At 50.9% G+C, this 15,939-nt stretch overlaps 1 annotated feature.

Annotated features, from left to right (window-relative positions):
* Positions 14,129-14,630: an enhancer, noted in NCBI's record as "H3K4me1 hESC enhancer chr11:1844971-1845472 (GRCh37/hg19 assembly coordinates)". NCBI's record gives its function as "activates a minimal SCP1, AML or CMV promoter by ChIP-STARR-seq in primed H9 embryonic stem cells {active_cell/tissue: H9 hESC(primed)}" and the evidence as "EXISTENCE:reporter gene assay evidence [ECO:0000049][PMID:30033119]".

The following is a 15,939-nucleotide window of genomic DNA, read 5'->3' on the forward strand; positions in this document are numbered from 1 at the left end:
GCATCGTGAGTATGTTACTGAAAATCCAGGGCTTCAGTCCAGGTCCTGCCATGCATTGCACAGAAAGCCAATCGCTGAGACAAGTACTGCCAGGGAAGAAGGCTTTAATTGGGTGCTGCAGCTGAGGTGATGGGAAATCAGTGTCAAATCCATCTCCCCAACCAGCTAAAATCAGGGGCTTATATGGCAGAGGAGAAATGTAAACCACTTGTGGGAAACAGGAAATAGAGAGGCCTAAGAAAGAGTTGGTCAGCAGTAAGCAGGTGGTGGGTTAGGCAGTCATAACGGGTGAGGGGTCCAGCATCTCATTTTCCAAATGCAGAGATCTGGTGAGTTTCAGCTCCTTGACACTATCTGGGAGACATGATGGCTGGTTTCCGGAGAAGGGAACTCAGAGATAAGACAAATGTAACTCTCTCAAGTTTTAAGACTGGGAGGATCAATTTCTATGTTTATTCAAAAGAAACCATCGACATCACCTCTATGGGACAGTTGGGTTGGTTTCAGTATTAAGAAAATTCAAAATAAATCCACAACGAGTTACCACTACATATTTATTAGAATAGTAAGTTAAAAGAAAATAACAGGCCAGGTGCGGTGGCTCATGCTTGTAATCCCAGCACTTTGGGAGGCTGAGGCAGGAGGATCACTTGAGGCCAGGAGTTTGAGGCCAGCCTGGCCAACATGGTAAACCCCATTTCTGTCAAAAATACAGAAATCAGCTGGGTGTGGTGGCACACGCCTGTAGTCCCAGCTGCTCGGGAGGCTGAGGTGGGAAGACAGTTTGAACCTGGGAGGTGGACGCTGCAGTGAGTGAGATCGCGCCACTGCACACCAGCCTGGGTGACAGAGCCAGACCCTGTCTCAAAATAAATAAATAAATAAATAAAAATTTAAAAACGAGAAGCACTGCATGCCAGGAGGATGTGGAGTGGCCAGAACCTTGCCCGTCGCTGCTGGAAAGGTGAGACGGGGCAGCCATGCTGGCAAGCGGTCAGGCAGCTTCTTGTAGAGTCTAAGGTGTGCTCAGATGTGATCTGCCATCAACTCCAAGGTATCTGGAGTGAAACAAAAGCTCATGTTCACACAAGCACCTGTACACACATGTTTAAAACAGCATTATTCATTAGCATGAGATGTTACAAACAACCCCAAAGCCCTTCAATGTACGAACAGATAAACGTACTGAGATAGACCTGTGCACGGAATATTCCTAAGCAAAAAAAGGAACCAATTGCCTGTCCGGGTGGCAACGCGGATGGCTCTCAAATGCGTCATGCTGAGTGAGAAAGGCCAGACCTACAGGCTGCACGATTCCAATTGTGTGACATTCTGGAAATGACAGAAACTATAGGGACCAAAAATGGGTCAGTGACTGCCAGGAGTGAAGGGTGGGAGGGTTGACCACAAAAAGGAAGCTTCAGGGACAATTTTGTGGTGACAGGATTGCTCTAGATCCTGGTTTTAGTGGAAGTTATGTAACTGTATGTATTCATCAAAACTCACAGACCTGTACACGCACAAACAAGTGAAGTTCACTGTCCGTAAAATAAAAACTGCATTTAAAGACACAATATTCATTCTTTCAAAAGTTTACTGTCAATCAGTCAATCTCCTCCTCCTCCTCCTCTCTGGGAATGTGAGGTCCTTATAACCTCAAACTCTAATCTCTCTCTCCTATTCTTAGGTATTATAGGTGAGTATTTTATTTCTACTTTTTTTTAAACCCCTATGGCTTGTTTTATTATTTCTAAGTTAATTTTTTTTAGTTGTACATAAATGTTAACCAGTTATTTAACTCATCATTTCTTCTTGTGCCTTTTTTTTTGAGATGGGGTCTCATTCTGTCACCCACTGGTGCAATCTTGGCTCACTGCAGCCTTGAACTCCAGGGCTCAAGCGATCCTCCCACCTCAGCCCCCCAAGTAGCTGGGACTACAAATGCGTGCCACCATGCCCCTAATTTTTTTTTTTTTTGGTAGAGACACGGTTTTGGTATGTTGCCCAGGCTGGTCTCAACCTCCTGGGCTCAAGTGATCCTTTAGCCTCAGCCTCCCAAAGTGCTGGGATTAGAGGCGTGAGCTACGGTGCCCGGCCTTCTTCTTGTGCTTGATGAGTCTTCCTGGCTAGAATTTCTTCCTGAAATCGACTCATTAATAGTTTCTTTAGTTTGACTCAATTCAATTTAGTTAATTGAATTTGGTATGCAAATAAAACACCTTCATTTCCTCCCAGGTCTTGAATAATCATTAGATGGGTAAATGTTTCTATGCTGGCAGGGGTCTCTTACAAGCAATTTGGGTTTTTTTTTGTTTTCTTGTGTTTTTTTTTATTTTTTATTTTTTTTTTGTGACAGAGTTTTACTCTGTCATCCAGGCTGGAGTGCAGTGGCTCAATCTCAGCTCACTGCAACCTCTGCCTCCTGAGCTCAAGCCATTCTCCTGTCTCAGCCTCCTGAGTAGCTGGGACTACAGGCAGGCGTCACCACACCCGGCTACTTTTTATATTTTTAGTAGAAACAGGTTTCACTGTGTGGGCCAGGCTGGTCTCGAACTCCTGACCTCAAGTAATCCACCCGCCTCGGCCTCTCAAAGTGCTGGGATGACAGGCGTGAGCCACTGCACCTGGCCTCCCACGAGCAATTGGAAATGTACGTCCACATTCTTCATACTCCTGTTTTTGCCAAGAGACCTGCTTTCAGCGTATTAGCCATCTTTTGTTGGGTGATCTGGCACGATCCTAAATTGTGTGAACATCGTTCTCTTGCCTTTTCTTCTGGCTACTGTTTATGAACGCCTCCCCAACTCGTCTCCATCAGTTTCTCTGGCTTTTCCAGTTTGTATACAGGACATCCTGTCAGGTGAAGTGCCTGTTCAGGTCATTTGCCCATTTTTGATCAAATGATCCCCATATCCTCACTGATTTCCAGGAGCCCTTTTTATTCTGGACACCTGTCCTTTTCAGTGATAAGTGTGGCAAATATCTTCTCCAGCTCCATAGATTATCTTCCCACTGCTTATGGAGATTTGTTTTATCAACTTTATTAAGATATGATTAAATACAATAAAATGCACAGATTTTTTTTTTTGAGATGGAGTCTTGCTCTGTCACCCAGGCTGGAGTGCAGTGGCGCGATCTTGGCTCACTGTAAGCTCTGCCTCCCAGGTTCACACCATTCTCCTGCCTCAGCCTTCTGTGTGGCTGGGATGACAGGCGCCCGCCACCACACCAGCTGATTTTTTGTATGTTCAGTAGAGATGGGGTTTGGAGTTTCTCATGCTTCTTTAGACCATGGCTGGGGCTCCTTTCGGCAGTGATCACGTCCACTTCTCATCTCCGTTCCATTCTCTCTCTAAGGCTCCACCACCTGCTAGACGCTCTCCTGCATCCCGCCTCACCCATCGCGCCTGCCGGTTCTGCCTCCCGCATGCTTTTGTCTTCCTTCCAGTTCACGAATTCTCTTTCAAGGGGCACCCACTTGCTAGCAGGTCCGTTTCCGCCACCACCGAGGTTTTTCTATTTTTTAATTCTAGAATTTCCATTTGATTCTTTTTCATAATTTCAAGTTTTATGCCAGATTTGGTTTATCTAATTTCTTGAAGATAAGACTCAGAGTTACATTAAAGAGATACATGACAATATTCCCCGTGCAATGGCTCATGTGAGACAGCCCCCCAGCCATAACAAAGCAAGGGGTCCGTTTCCCCGGGGGACACGTTCCAGGACCCCCCCAGTGGATGCTGGACACTGGGGACGGCAGACAGCCCTGAACCCTCTATATACACACCTGTGTTAAAGTTTAATTTATAAATTAGGCACAGTAAGAGATTCACAATAACCGACAGTAAAAGAGAACAATTGTAAGAGTATACTGCAACAAAGTTACGAGATGTGGCCTATGTTGCGCTCACCCTTCTTCCTGTGAGGCAAAAGGGATGGAGCCCGCAGGGCACGAGAGCTCCTCGTGCTACTCAGAACACTGCACAATTTGGAACTTACAAGGCGGGGCCTGGTGGCTCATGCCTGTAACCCCAGCACTTTGGGAGGCCAAGGCAGGTGGATCACCTGAGGTCAGGAGTTCGAGACCAGCCTGGGCAACATGATGAAACCCTATCTCTACTAAAAATACAAAAATCAGCCAGGCGTGGTGGTGGGTGCCTGTAATCCTAGCTACTCAGGAGGCTGAGGCAGGAGAATTGCTTGAACCCAGGAGGCAGAGGTTGCAGTGAGCCAAGACCGCACCACTGCACTCCAGCCCAGGCCACAGAGAAAGACATTGTCAAAAACAAAAAACAAAAAACAAACAAACAAACAAAAAAAAAAACCTTATGAATTGCATCTTTCTGGAATTTTCCATTTAATGTTTTCAGACCATACTTGGCCATCGGTAACTGAACCCACAATGAGGGGTGACTACTGTGGCACAGCTCGAACAGCGAGAATCTGTTGTCTCTCAGTCCCGGAGGCTGGAGTCTGAGATCAACCTGTGGCAGGGCTGTTTCTTCCCAGGCCGCTCTCCATGGCTTGCAGACGCTGCCTTCTCCCTGTGTGCCCTCAGAGCCGTCCCTCGGTGTGTGTTTGTCCTTACCTCTCCTTCTTGTAGGGACACAGCCACACTGAATTAGGGCTTTCCCTGGAGACCTCATTTTAACTTAATTGCCACTTTAAAGATTCCATCTCAAACAGCCTGACTAACATGGTGAAACCCCATCTCTATTAAAAATATAAAAAATTTAGCCAGGCGTGGTGGCACACACCTGTAATCTCAGCCACTTTGGGAGGCTGAGGCAGGATAATCACTTGAACCCACCCGGGAGGCATAGGTTGCAGTGAGCCGAGATTGTGCCACTGCACTTCAGCCTGGGTGACAGAGTGAGACTCTGTCTCAAAAAAAAACAAAAAGAAGATCCCATCTCGAGCTACAATCACATCGTTAGGCACCGAGAACTAGGATTGCAACATGTGAATTTTGAGAGGACACAATTTAGCCCATAACACAACTGCTCAAAGCGCATTTGGGAGGTTGCAGAAGTGAAAGGATTTCTGTGTCCCCAAACCGGGGGCCCACAGGGGCCGCCTTCTCTATGACCAGACCTCATGCAGAAAGACTTTGATTTGAAAGTGAGATCAGACCCGTCTCCTGGAGGCTGCAAGCTCCGGGGGAGTCAGGAATGGAATAGGATCTCAGGTCCTTGGGCAGCACCCGACCCCCGACGGCAGCGCCAGTGTGTCCCAAAGAGGAGCCTGCAGGGAAGAGATGCTGATGTTGAACGGGGCCAGGCCATGGTGCATGGCGAGCCTGAGTGGCACTGTGTTAGGACAAACAAGAAATCCTCCCCTTGCAGAAGGCTCTGGGCCTGGGCCTTGCCTGTGTCCCCTCCCCTGCAAGGAACCACCCTTCCTCCATGGAGGGGCAGCTTGGTGGGCCTGTCCATCAACTGGTGGCTGTGGCCATGCTCCCCGAGAAGGAAGACCGTGTCATTCCAGGGACTGCTCATGGGCTCCCGGACCAGGAAGCCTGAATGGGCTCTTTGGTTCTTTCTTCTGGTCTGACGGCTGCCCCTCCTTCCAATAAATGCCCTCTTTTCTTCCTGGCTTAAGTTCGCCAGCTTCAGTTTGTGTTATTGCAACCAGAGAGCCTTAACCATCCCCAGGGCTCTGTGATGATTCCACTGGAATTTCCCGGTGGTGGTGGGGCACTGAGGCCCTGGGGAGGCTACGGCCCTAGGAGGCTGGGCCTGGGGCATGGGCGGCCAGGAGCCTGCTGGGTGGCTGGGCGCTCTGGGCATCACGTCCAGGGCCTTCCCGGGAGAAAGGCCAGATACAGGCCCAAACACCAAGCTCTTTCCCTCCCTTCCCCAGGAGAAGGGCCCCATGGGAGCAGGGGTGTCTCCTTCCATAAACGGACAGGGGCTGGGCTCACGTGTGAGTCCCCTAGAAGGGGTGACAACTTCTGGCCTTTCTGAGAATACTCCAGGATGACAAGGTGGGGAGATGTGGAGCTGCAAGAAGTGCTAGCATGTTCCTCGGGAATGAGGAGATCTCAGAGTCATGAGGGCTTAACCCACATTGTAGTGGGCCCAGGAATGGGACTAACTTCTGGATAAACTCAGGGAGAATGCACCAGAAGACAGCAGCCCACAGAGCTGCCTTGCCACGCATTCCCGGGATGAAGGCAGCTGAGGCAGGAGCTCTAGGCTGGCTAAGAACACAGGTGTCATCCAGGACCACTTGATGTCAGCTGGGGCCACCCAAACTGCCTCAAAACCTACAAACGGTGGCTGTGTTGGCCATGCATGGGGCACCCCATGTAAGAGCAAATGGCGCAGGTGACCCACCTGTTGGAGTGGGTCTGGTTGGACAAACCAAGGGGTGTCCACGCTGGGGAGCCTCTGTGGCTGACAGTGGGTGAGAGGCTCTGGGCAAAGCTGTGGCTGGTCTCCCAGACCCGTGTCTGGGGCACTCAACATGGGGCAGACCAGATGGGGATTAACACACTGTCGTTTACTAAGAAAGGTTTTGGGGTGTGAATAAATATCTTTTAAAAGATGGAACTGTCAATCAAAGCTTGCAAAAAGAGACCGGGCGCCATGGCTCATGCCTGTAATCCCAGCACTTCGGGAGGATGAGGCGGGCAGATCACATGAGGCTAGGAGTTTGAGACCAGCCTGGGCAACATGGCGAAATCCCGTCTCTACTAAAAATACAAAAATTAGCCAGGTGAGGTGGTGGGCGCCTGCAGCCCCACCTACTCAGGAGGCTGAGGCAGGAGAACGACTTGAACCCAGGAGGCGGAGGTTGCAGTGAGCCGAGATCACACCACTGCACTCCAGCCTGGGCAATACAGCAAGACTCTGTCTCAAAAAAATAAAAATAAAGCTTGCAAAAAGGGGCAAGGGGCACCTGAAAGAGACAGCAACCAGGATGCTGAGCAACCTGCCTGTGCCCTGTAGTTTTTTCAGTCATAAAACAGTTCACATAAAACAGTTCACAGTCATAAAACGGTTCAGATAAACGTATGCACTCCAAGAAGTCAAGAAAGAAACTTAAAATCCTGTAGGTAAATTAGAAATATCAGTATGATTCCATGATATATTTACCTTTAAAAATATATATTTCCAGCTGGGCCACAGTGGCTCACTCCTGTAATCCCAGCACTTTGAGACGCCTAGGCGGGTGGATCACTTGAGGTCAGGGGTTCAAGACTAGCCTGGCCAACATGGTGAAACTCTGTCTCTACTAAAAATACAAACATTAGTTGGGCATGGTGGTGCATGCCTGTAATCCCAGCTACTCAGGAGGCTGAGGCAGGAGAATTGCTTGAACCCAGGAGGTGGAGGTTGTAGTGAGCTGGGATCATGCCACTGCACTCCAGCCTGGGTGACAGAGCAAGACTTTATCTTAAAAAAACAAAACAAAAAAAAGTTATTTCCTAAGCCAGTCAAAAAAAGAAAAAAGAAAAGACAAATACTGTATGATTCTATTTGTATGAGGTCCCTAGAGTAGTCAAATTTATAGTGACAGAAAGTAGGATGGCGAGTGCCAGGGGCTGGGGGAGGTGGAGGGGGAGTTGGATTTAATGGGAGCAGAGCTGCTGCTTTTCGAGACAAAAGGCATTCTGGAGCTGGATAGTGGGATGACAGCAGCGCGAATGTACTGAATGCCACGGAACTGTGCACTTAGAAGATGGTAAATTTTGTTACACATATTTTACCACCATACAAAAACTGGAAAAATAGGTCTTGCCTAATTCTGTCCACAGTAAAAGCTTAGAAACAATGAAAATAGACTAGTAGCAATGAGCACCCTGGCACCCAAAGTGGGACCTCTAAATACCCACCAAACTCCCTTCAAAAAGAACCGTGAACCCTTGGAGAAATGACTGGTTCTGGGCTGAGCCATGACATAGCCATGACATAAGATAAACCTGGAACTTCTCATTGCATCAGAAAGCTAAGAAACAATCAAAGACTACTGAGGTCATTTCAAGATGACATACCAGTCAACTTAAATGTATCCCCATTGACCAAATGTGGGACCACATGGTCACCAGTAAAGACAATAAGTTCAATGAATGGAAGGGCATTGTGTCAGGCACACCCTAATGCGGCCTCCAGTGAGTAATGGCCTTATTTAATCCCCTGCCCTGAGGCAGGGCAGAATCTGTGATTTTTCTTTGACTGAGAGATTAAAGCAAAAGTGAAGAGACTTTGCAGATATAATTAAGTTCCTAACCAGTTGACTTTGAGTTAATCAAAAGGAGATTTTTCTCAGTGGTCCTGACTTAACAGGCAAGCCCTTTGTAAGAGAGTCTAGGGCTTCTCTGAAGTTAGAGACTCGAAGGGGCAGAGACCCTCTCTCTCTGTTGCTGGCTTTGAAGGAGGAAGCTGCCATGAATTCTGCAACTTCATGGAAATAAGTTCTGCCAAAACCTAAATGAGCCTGGAAGCTGCTCCCTCCCTAGTTGGGTCTCCAGATGAGAACACAGCCTGGCTGACAGCTTGATCTCAAGCTAGTGAGACCCTGAGTGAGGAATCTGGCTAAGCTATACCAGGACATCTGGCATACAGAAGTGCATATACTAAATGGGAGCTTTATGTTTGTGGCAATTTGTTCCACAGCCATTGAGAATTACTGCACACATTCAATACAGTACATTTAAGTAATATACTTCAATTTATGATTTCACAATAATATATATTTAAAATAATCAATATTTTTCTCTGCCTTCCCTGTACCAAATATTTGATGTGGGAAAGTGTATCTTTAGAAGAACTCTTGCAAATAAATGCTGAAGAAATACCAAGTTTAGAAAATTGCAATTTTGCAACCCCTAATGAAATGATGGATCTAGGGCAGTGGTCCTCAACTGGGGGCAGTTTTGCCCCTCTGGCAATATCTACAGGTATTTTTGATTGTTGTAACTGAGAGTTGCTGTAGGGATCAGGGATGCTGACAAATATCCTAAAGTGCACAGGACAGCCCCACAGCAAACATTATCTGGCTGGGTTAGAAAGACCCTAAGGTGAACCACAGTGATTTCTGCTTCCTGTTGGCTGTGCTTCTGTGTTGTCCCCTCTCCTTGAAAGTGTTAACCAACAGAATATGGCAAAGGTGGTAGATGTCACACCTGGGATTATATTATAGTATATAATATTCTGGAGTCACTCTCTCTGTCTCCTGCTGGCCTTGAAGAAGCAAGAGCCATGTGTGAACTGCCTTTGAGGGGCCCACAAGACTGGGAACTATGGGTGGCCTGCAGGAAGTGAGGACCTCAGTGCTACAACCACAAGGACCTGAATTCTACCAACAAGCTAAGTGAATGCAAAGCAGGCCCTGTCCCAGTTGGACCTTCAGATGAGAATGCAGCCCCAGCTGACACCATGGGATCCTGAGGTAGAGAACCCAGCTAAGTTGTGCCCCAGGCTTCTACCCACAAAAACTGTGAGATAAGAAACATGTGTTGTTCTAAGCCACTAAGTTTGTGGCAATTTGTTCCACACCATAGAAAACTAACAGCCTGGCCCCAAATGCCCACAATGCCAAGACTGAGAAACCTAACTTAGGGCTTGTTGTTGTGGTTGTTTTCTACAAGGGCTGAGTTGCAAACACATCTGTCTTTGCAGGCCATTTGCTCTCTGTCATTGTGTCTGTTTTTTATCACTGTGTAATAAATCACCACAAACCCAGCTGTGAAACAAATCCTGTGCATCCTGTGGAACAGAGCTCTGGGCATTCCTGTAGGGCTTTTTCCTTAGGTCCTCACTGGCTGAGAGCAGATGCCAGCCAGGCTGGGCTCCTCTCTGGAGGTGCTGGGGAAGACTCCACTCTCGGGGCATTCACGGTGTGGACACAATTCGGTTCTTGTGTTTGTAGGTCCCCATCTTCCTGCTGGCTGTAGGCAGGGTGACTCTCTGCAGGAGGTCGTGCTCAGTCCTTTCCCCTGGTTCATGGAGAGCCTTCCTCGAGGAGAATCACTGTGAATCCCTCTCAATTTCTCTCCTACCACCAGCTGGGGGGTAAAAAAAACAACCCAAACTCTGCTTTTACAGGGCTCATGGGATTCAACCAGGCCCACCGTGATCCTCTCTCTATTTTAAAGTCAACTCATCAGCAGCCTAAACTTTATCCGCAAAATGCCTTTTGCCAGACAACATAACACACTCACAAGGGTGAGAATTATTCACAATTCTGGGAATCACGGCACAAAGTCTGGGGGGACCTTCTTGGAATCACCACAGCCATGGTACCATGAAAGCAGTCACAGATGGTACATAAGTGAATGAGTGGGGGCCATGTTCCAATAAAACTTTATTTACAAAAACAGATGGGGAATAAGATTTGGCCGGGGGCGACTGTAGTTTGCTGACCCCTGTTCTAGGAAATGTCACCAGCAGCTGCTAAAACCATGAAAAGAAAAGCCACTGGGCACTTAGTGGCTTATGGCTGTAGCTGGCTACACCCAAACCTACTCACTGATCAGCCCCATATCCCAGGAGGAAGTTCCAGGACATCCAGTGCCTCCCGCCATGCACAAAGGAAGTGCCATCTCCCTCCATGAAGCGGCCTTGCCAAAAGGCTTGACCTTACACTGATCAGGCCTCAGCACTATAGAGTAAGGAAAGACACCTGAAACGCTGTGTTGCGACTTGTGAAACCCAGAATGTTGGGAACTCCTTAGGATGAGCGCCCTTGCTTCTTCAACAAATAAGTGGCAAGAATGAAAAGACAGAGGCACTAATTGATCAAAGGGGGCTCCAGAGGCGCAGGAGCAAGATGGCACATGAGTTCCATGTGGGGTGACTTGAAGACACCATCCGTAAGATCCATTGATGAGACAATGGGGGAAATTTGAGCCCTGTCCAGGTTTGATCATATTTAAGAATTACTGGTATTTGTTTAGCTGTGAAAATGGATTTTTGAAAAAGCGTTCTTATCTTTTGGGAACATGAGAAGAGAGACAGAGGCCCACTGCGGCTTGCTATAATAAAAGGAATCTAGAGAGGGTGTTGCAGGGTGGGAGGCACTGGCTGGCTGTTTGGCGGTACTCATGGAATCTAAGGAAGCCTTGGAATGTTTCTGTGTGTGTGTAAAATTCTCCCAATAGAGGGTTTGGGAATAATCTGCCTTCAGACTACAAGGCAAGCTTCAAACGGAAAGGCCCAGGGGCCAGGGGAGCCCCTCAGAGCTGTGGGTACCTGGCTTTCTCTCCACCAAGCACTCCAGGTAAACATGGGTTGTGACTTGTTACGGAGAAATTGCCCCTGGGCATTTGTGAGTCAGGGATGCTGTGTGCCAGAGTGTGGCCAGCAGCAGCTTTTAGGACTCCTTCCCTCCATGTGGCCCTGGGGGCCACTGTTCAAGTTCCCAAGGGACAACCCAGCTTCCCTCCACCTTGGCCTTGGCAGCTGAACGCCTAATTCCTGAGAAGCCTAAAATCACCCAGGGACCGCCCAGTGGGTCTTAAAAGTTTGCTCCTGCACCATCCTACTCACTCAGCACAGCTACAAGCTGCAACAGATATTCGGTACATAGGAGCTTGAGAACAACGGGGCCACACCTACAATGCGGCAGCTTACGAATCGCGCCAGACCCAGCAAGCCAGGATGACAGCCACTGACTATTACCATGAGAATCTTGGGGCCTGCGTGTCCAGCACCACCTCCATGACTGCATAAAGTCATACATGGGAGGGAGGGAGGAGAAGAAGGAGGGAGAGAAGGCAAAATGGAGTAGGTGGATGGATGGATGGATGGATGGATGCTTGGGTTGATGAATGGTTGGGTGGATGGATTGGTGAATGGATGAGTGGGTGAGTGAGCGGGTAGATGAATGAGTAGATGAATGTGTGGATGGATGGATGGATGGATGGATGGATGGATGGATGGATGGATGAATGGATAAATGGATGTTTGGGTGGATAAATGGGTGGGTGGATGAGTGGACAGATGAGTAGGTGGATGGATGGATGGATGGATGGGTGGATGGATGGATGGATGGATGGATGGATGGATAGATGGATGGATAGATAGGTAGATGGAAGGATGGTTGAGTGGATAAATGGATGGGTGAATGAGTGGGTAGATGAATGGATGGGTGGATGGATGAATGAGTGGGTAGATGAGTGGATGGATAAATGGTTGGATGGATGGATGGATGGATGGACTGATGATTGGATGGATGGATGGATGGACTGATGATTGGATGGATGGATGGATGGATGCATGGATGGATGGATGGATGGATGGAAGGATGCATAGATGGATGGATGGATGGTTGGGTGGATAGATGTGGATGGATGAGTGGGTGGATGAGTGGATAGAGGAATGGATGGATGGTTGAGTGGATAGATGGATGAATGGATGGATGGATGAATGGTTGAGTGAATGGATGGATGGATGAATGGTTGTGTGAATGGATAGATGGTTGTGTAGATAGGTGGGTGGATTAGCGGGTAAATGAGTGAGTGGCTAGCTAGCTAGCTACCAATCTATCTACCTATCCACCTGGCTATCCATGTAGCTAGATAGATAGATGCAGAGAGAGGATAGATAGGGGCACACAGAGGATGAAGGAAATGACAGATATGAGCATACCTGCAAACACAGAGCCCCATGGACAGGCAGATGAACACACACTAGCAGGAATAGCCTCTGACATCCCAGCCACCTTACAGCTCTCCGCGCTTCCTACGTGGTAACTTATGGCAGCCCTTGGATGTGTGTACTGCAGAGGGGGCATGTGAGGTTCAGGAGGGCCCTCCTTCTTGCTCAGCATCCTGCAGCTAGTAGGCAGAGGGACCCACACCAAGCGTCTCTGGGTGCCATGCTAGGACCCACAGAAATGCAGGCTTACCCAGGCCCCTGGAGATCAGATGGGCCCACAGAGAGGACAGAAGCTGGGGCCTGTGGATGACCCAGAAGTTCAGACACACCCACAAGTACCAGAAGTACACCAGGGGCCCACAGAAACTCAAGAGCCAAGGAGGATTCTTGGAACCACAGAGGGGAACACACACAGGCAGACACACAAACCCAGACAGCTCTTTTACCAGGATGACTGGATGGGTTAAAGGAACTTTCCTCAGCCCCACACCCCACACCCCACACCTCACGCCAGCCAGATATGCCCACAGTTAGGTCAGGGAGGGGTGGCCGAGAGTAACCAGGGGAGGGTTGGCTTTGGGCCACCAACAATCAGCCAACCCAGCCAGAAGCAGCTGTCACCATGAGGTGACTCTAGGGCCTGAAGAAGCCACTGAGGCCAGCAGTAGAGAGGTTCCACTGCCACCACCCCCAGGCCAACCCTCCTCTCTACCCTAGGGCCTGCCCTGAGCCCTCCAGAGTTCTCTATATTTGGAGATGCTGCCTTTCCGGCCGGCAGCCTTAGCAAGAACCAGCCCTTTGCTGGCCTACTTTGAGCTAATCCCCCAACCCTGCCCTGTGGGCACTGGGCAAACAAGCAGCCAAGTGGGCTGGAAGTGCAGCTGGGAGCCAGTCAGGGTCTCCAGGCAAGGAGAGAGAGGAGCTTGGGAAGTTCCAGGTCCCCAGGTCACCGCAGGGCAGCTTCTAGGTCAACATAGCCTGGCTGGATTCTGGCGAGCTGGTCCTGCGCCCTTGCTGTGTGCCTGCATTGCTTCTGCCTAGAACACTGGCCCTCTGATCTCCAGTCCTAGGACAACTCCCAGGTCACTGAAGGCCCACTGGGCTCTTTTCCCCTGGTAAACACTGTGGGCCTAGGCTCTTGCCTAGCGCTGGGCAGGCCTCTCCGGACCCCCACATGGGCAGTCTGTGCACCCCTATTCCCCGAAGCATGGGCCTAGGCCTGGTGTTCCCGTGCCATCCCTGGGAAGACGAGCCACCCTGTGGGTGGGTCTGCTCTGACCCGGGGAGGACCTTTCCCGAAGGTCAGAGTCCCTTACCTACCAGCCCCTGACCATGTCCAGTTCTGGAGAGGGTGAGCATGGACAGGGAGGCCCAAGGGGCTGCTGGTGGCCAGGCCTGGGAGGGCAGGCTGGAGTGAGGGGCAGCATACCCAGGGGGCAGGTGGGCTACAGGCCTCTGGAGGCCCCCATATTCCCCCGCCCAGCACCAGGCTCTTGCATGTCTTCACCTCTGTTCAGAATCTGGCCCTAAAAAGGTGGCAGAGGCTGGAGGCTGAGAGCCACCCCAGACTTAATGGAGGTGAACAGGAAGCCCCCGCGATCCAGCGTGGCTGGAACATGCTGTGGCTGTCAGAGGCGGGAAAGGCAGGACAGCCGTACCCGCTGGCTGGGGCTGGGTGGAGGGTGCCCAGAGGAGGGTGGGCCCAGCCTCCTCTCCATCCTGCTGGATGAGGCCAGATTTGGTTGGCTGGCCACTGTGCTGGCCACTGGTGGACCCCATGTGCCCCACTGGGAGCCAAAGGAAGTGGCCAGTGGTGAGGAGCAGAGGTAGAGGCGGTGAGACCTGCAGGCGCTGGGCAGCCCTGGCACCCACCCATGCCCTCACCTGCCAGCGTGTGCTCACAGAGCTGGGTGGCACCTGACGTCTCTCTGTGTGCGCCTTGGCCAGGAGGGCAGTGCAGGGTGCAGGGAGCCAGTGGCCTCCGGGGAACTAAGACCTGGCCCTTCCAAAGCAGGTTTGTGCAGAGTCTAGACAAGCTGCAGAATGTTTCCACCAAGAAGGCAGCTGCAAGAATCGGGGCGACAGTGGAGATCCCAGAGTCACCTGCGGGGCTGACGTGGAGAGAGCGAGTACGTGTGTGCGTGGGTGAGTGTGCACGTGCATTGTGTGCACAGGTGCGTAGCAGTGTGCCCGTGCCTGGCGTGTGCGTGTGTGTGAGGCTGTGTGGGTCAAGCGCCCACACTCACAGGTGAGGGCTGGGGCTGACACTGCCAGAAAGGGTCTCCTGTCCTCTTCCGCCTGCAAGCTGATGCCTAGTGTTAGGCAGGCCCCTCTGGACCCCGACATGGGCAGTCTGTGCACCCCTGTTCCGCGAAGTGTGGGCCTAGGCCTGGTGTTCCCATGTCACCCCAGGGAAGATGAGTCCTGCTGGGTTGCCAACTTCCACAGACCCCGACATGCTGGGTGGCCTTCCGGCTTCGCTGGGTCTTTTTCTCCTTCTCTCCCAGCCACTCAGATGACTTCAGTGGTGGCTTCTCATGCCTCAATGTCAAGGACTTAAGGTGACCCTCTGGGTTGGGGGCGAGGGGAACATCTGAGATCAGGAAGCTAAAACCCCTTCCAGGATGATCTGGATCTCCTGGGGTCACGAACTGCCCTGCTCTGAGCTCCTTTGGGGACGGAGGGTCCCAGGGCAGAGAGCTGTTCCAAAGAGACCCCAGTTCAGAGGCTTCTGTGCAGACCAGGCTCCCAGGACAGAGACTTTTATCTAGAAAAAGGGCCCCTGTGGAGAGGGACCCCAGGAGGAAGGCTCTGAACAGTCAGGGGTCCCAGGACGGCGCCCCTGGGAGCAGGAGGGTCCAGGCCTGCACTGGAGAGGCCTGCGAGAGGCCTGTGTACGGAAGGGGGCGCCCGAACGCCTGCCAGGCCGGCAGGCTGGGCTGGGAGGCAGCAGGCGGAGTCTGGCCCGTAGGGCAGGGAGGGAGCAGGGGTCGGGCGGGAGCCGGAGGTCAGGCCACCTCCAGGAGCGGCCAGCAGACAGCAGGGGGAGCTTGGAGCCCAAATGATCCAGCTCTGCCAGCAACCTCTGCCCCGTGCAGCCCAGGCTTTCCTGCTGGGACCCCCATGGCAGAGGTGCCTTGTTTGGGGCCAGTCGGTCATCCCCGGCCAGCAGCCACCCTTGGGGATGCCCATGGGGGAGGCTGAGAAAGGCCCTGAGGGCACCTTGGGTTGGATCCTGAGCCACCCTGGAGCCAACTCAGGGGAGCTGGGACTCAACCCCTAGCCCACCGGCCAGGCAGGTGGGGGGCCCCAGTCAGGGCTTGGGCAACGAGGA

The sequence above is a fragment of the Homo sapiens genome, chromosome 11 (assembly GCF_000001405.40).
Source record: "Homo sapiens chromosome 11, GRCh38.p14 Primary Assembly".
Taxonomy (NCBI): domain Eukaryota; kingdom Metazoa; phylum Chordata; class Mammalia; order Primates; family Hominidae; genus Homo; species Homo sapiens.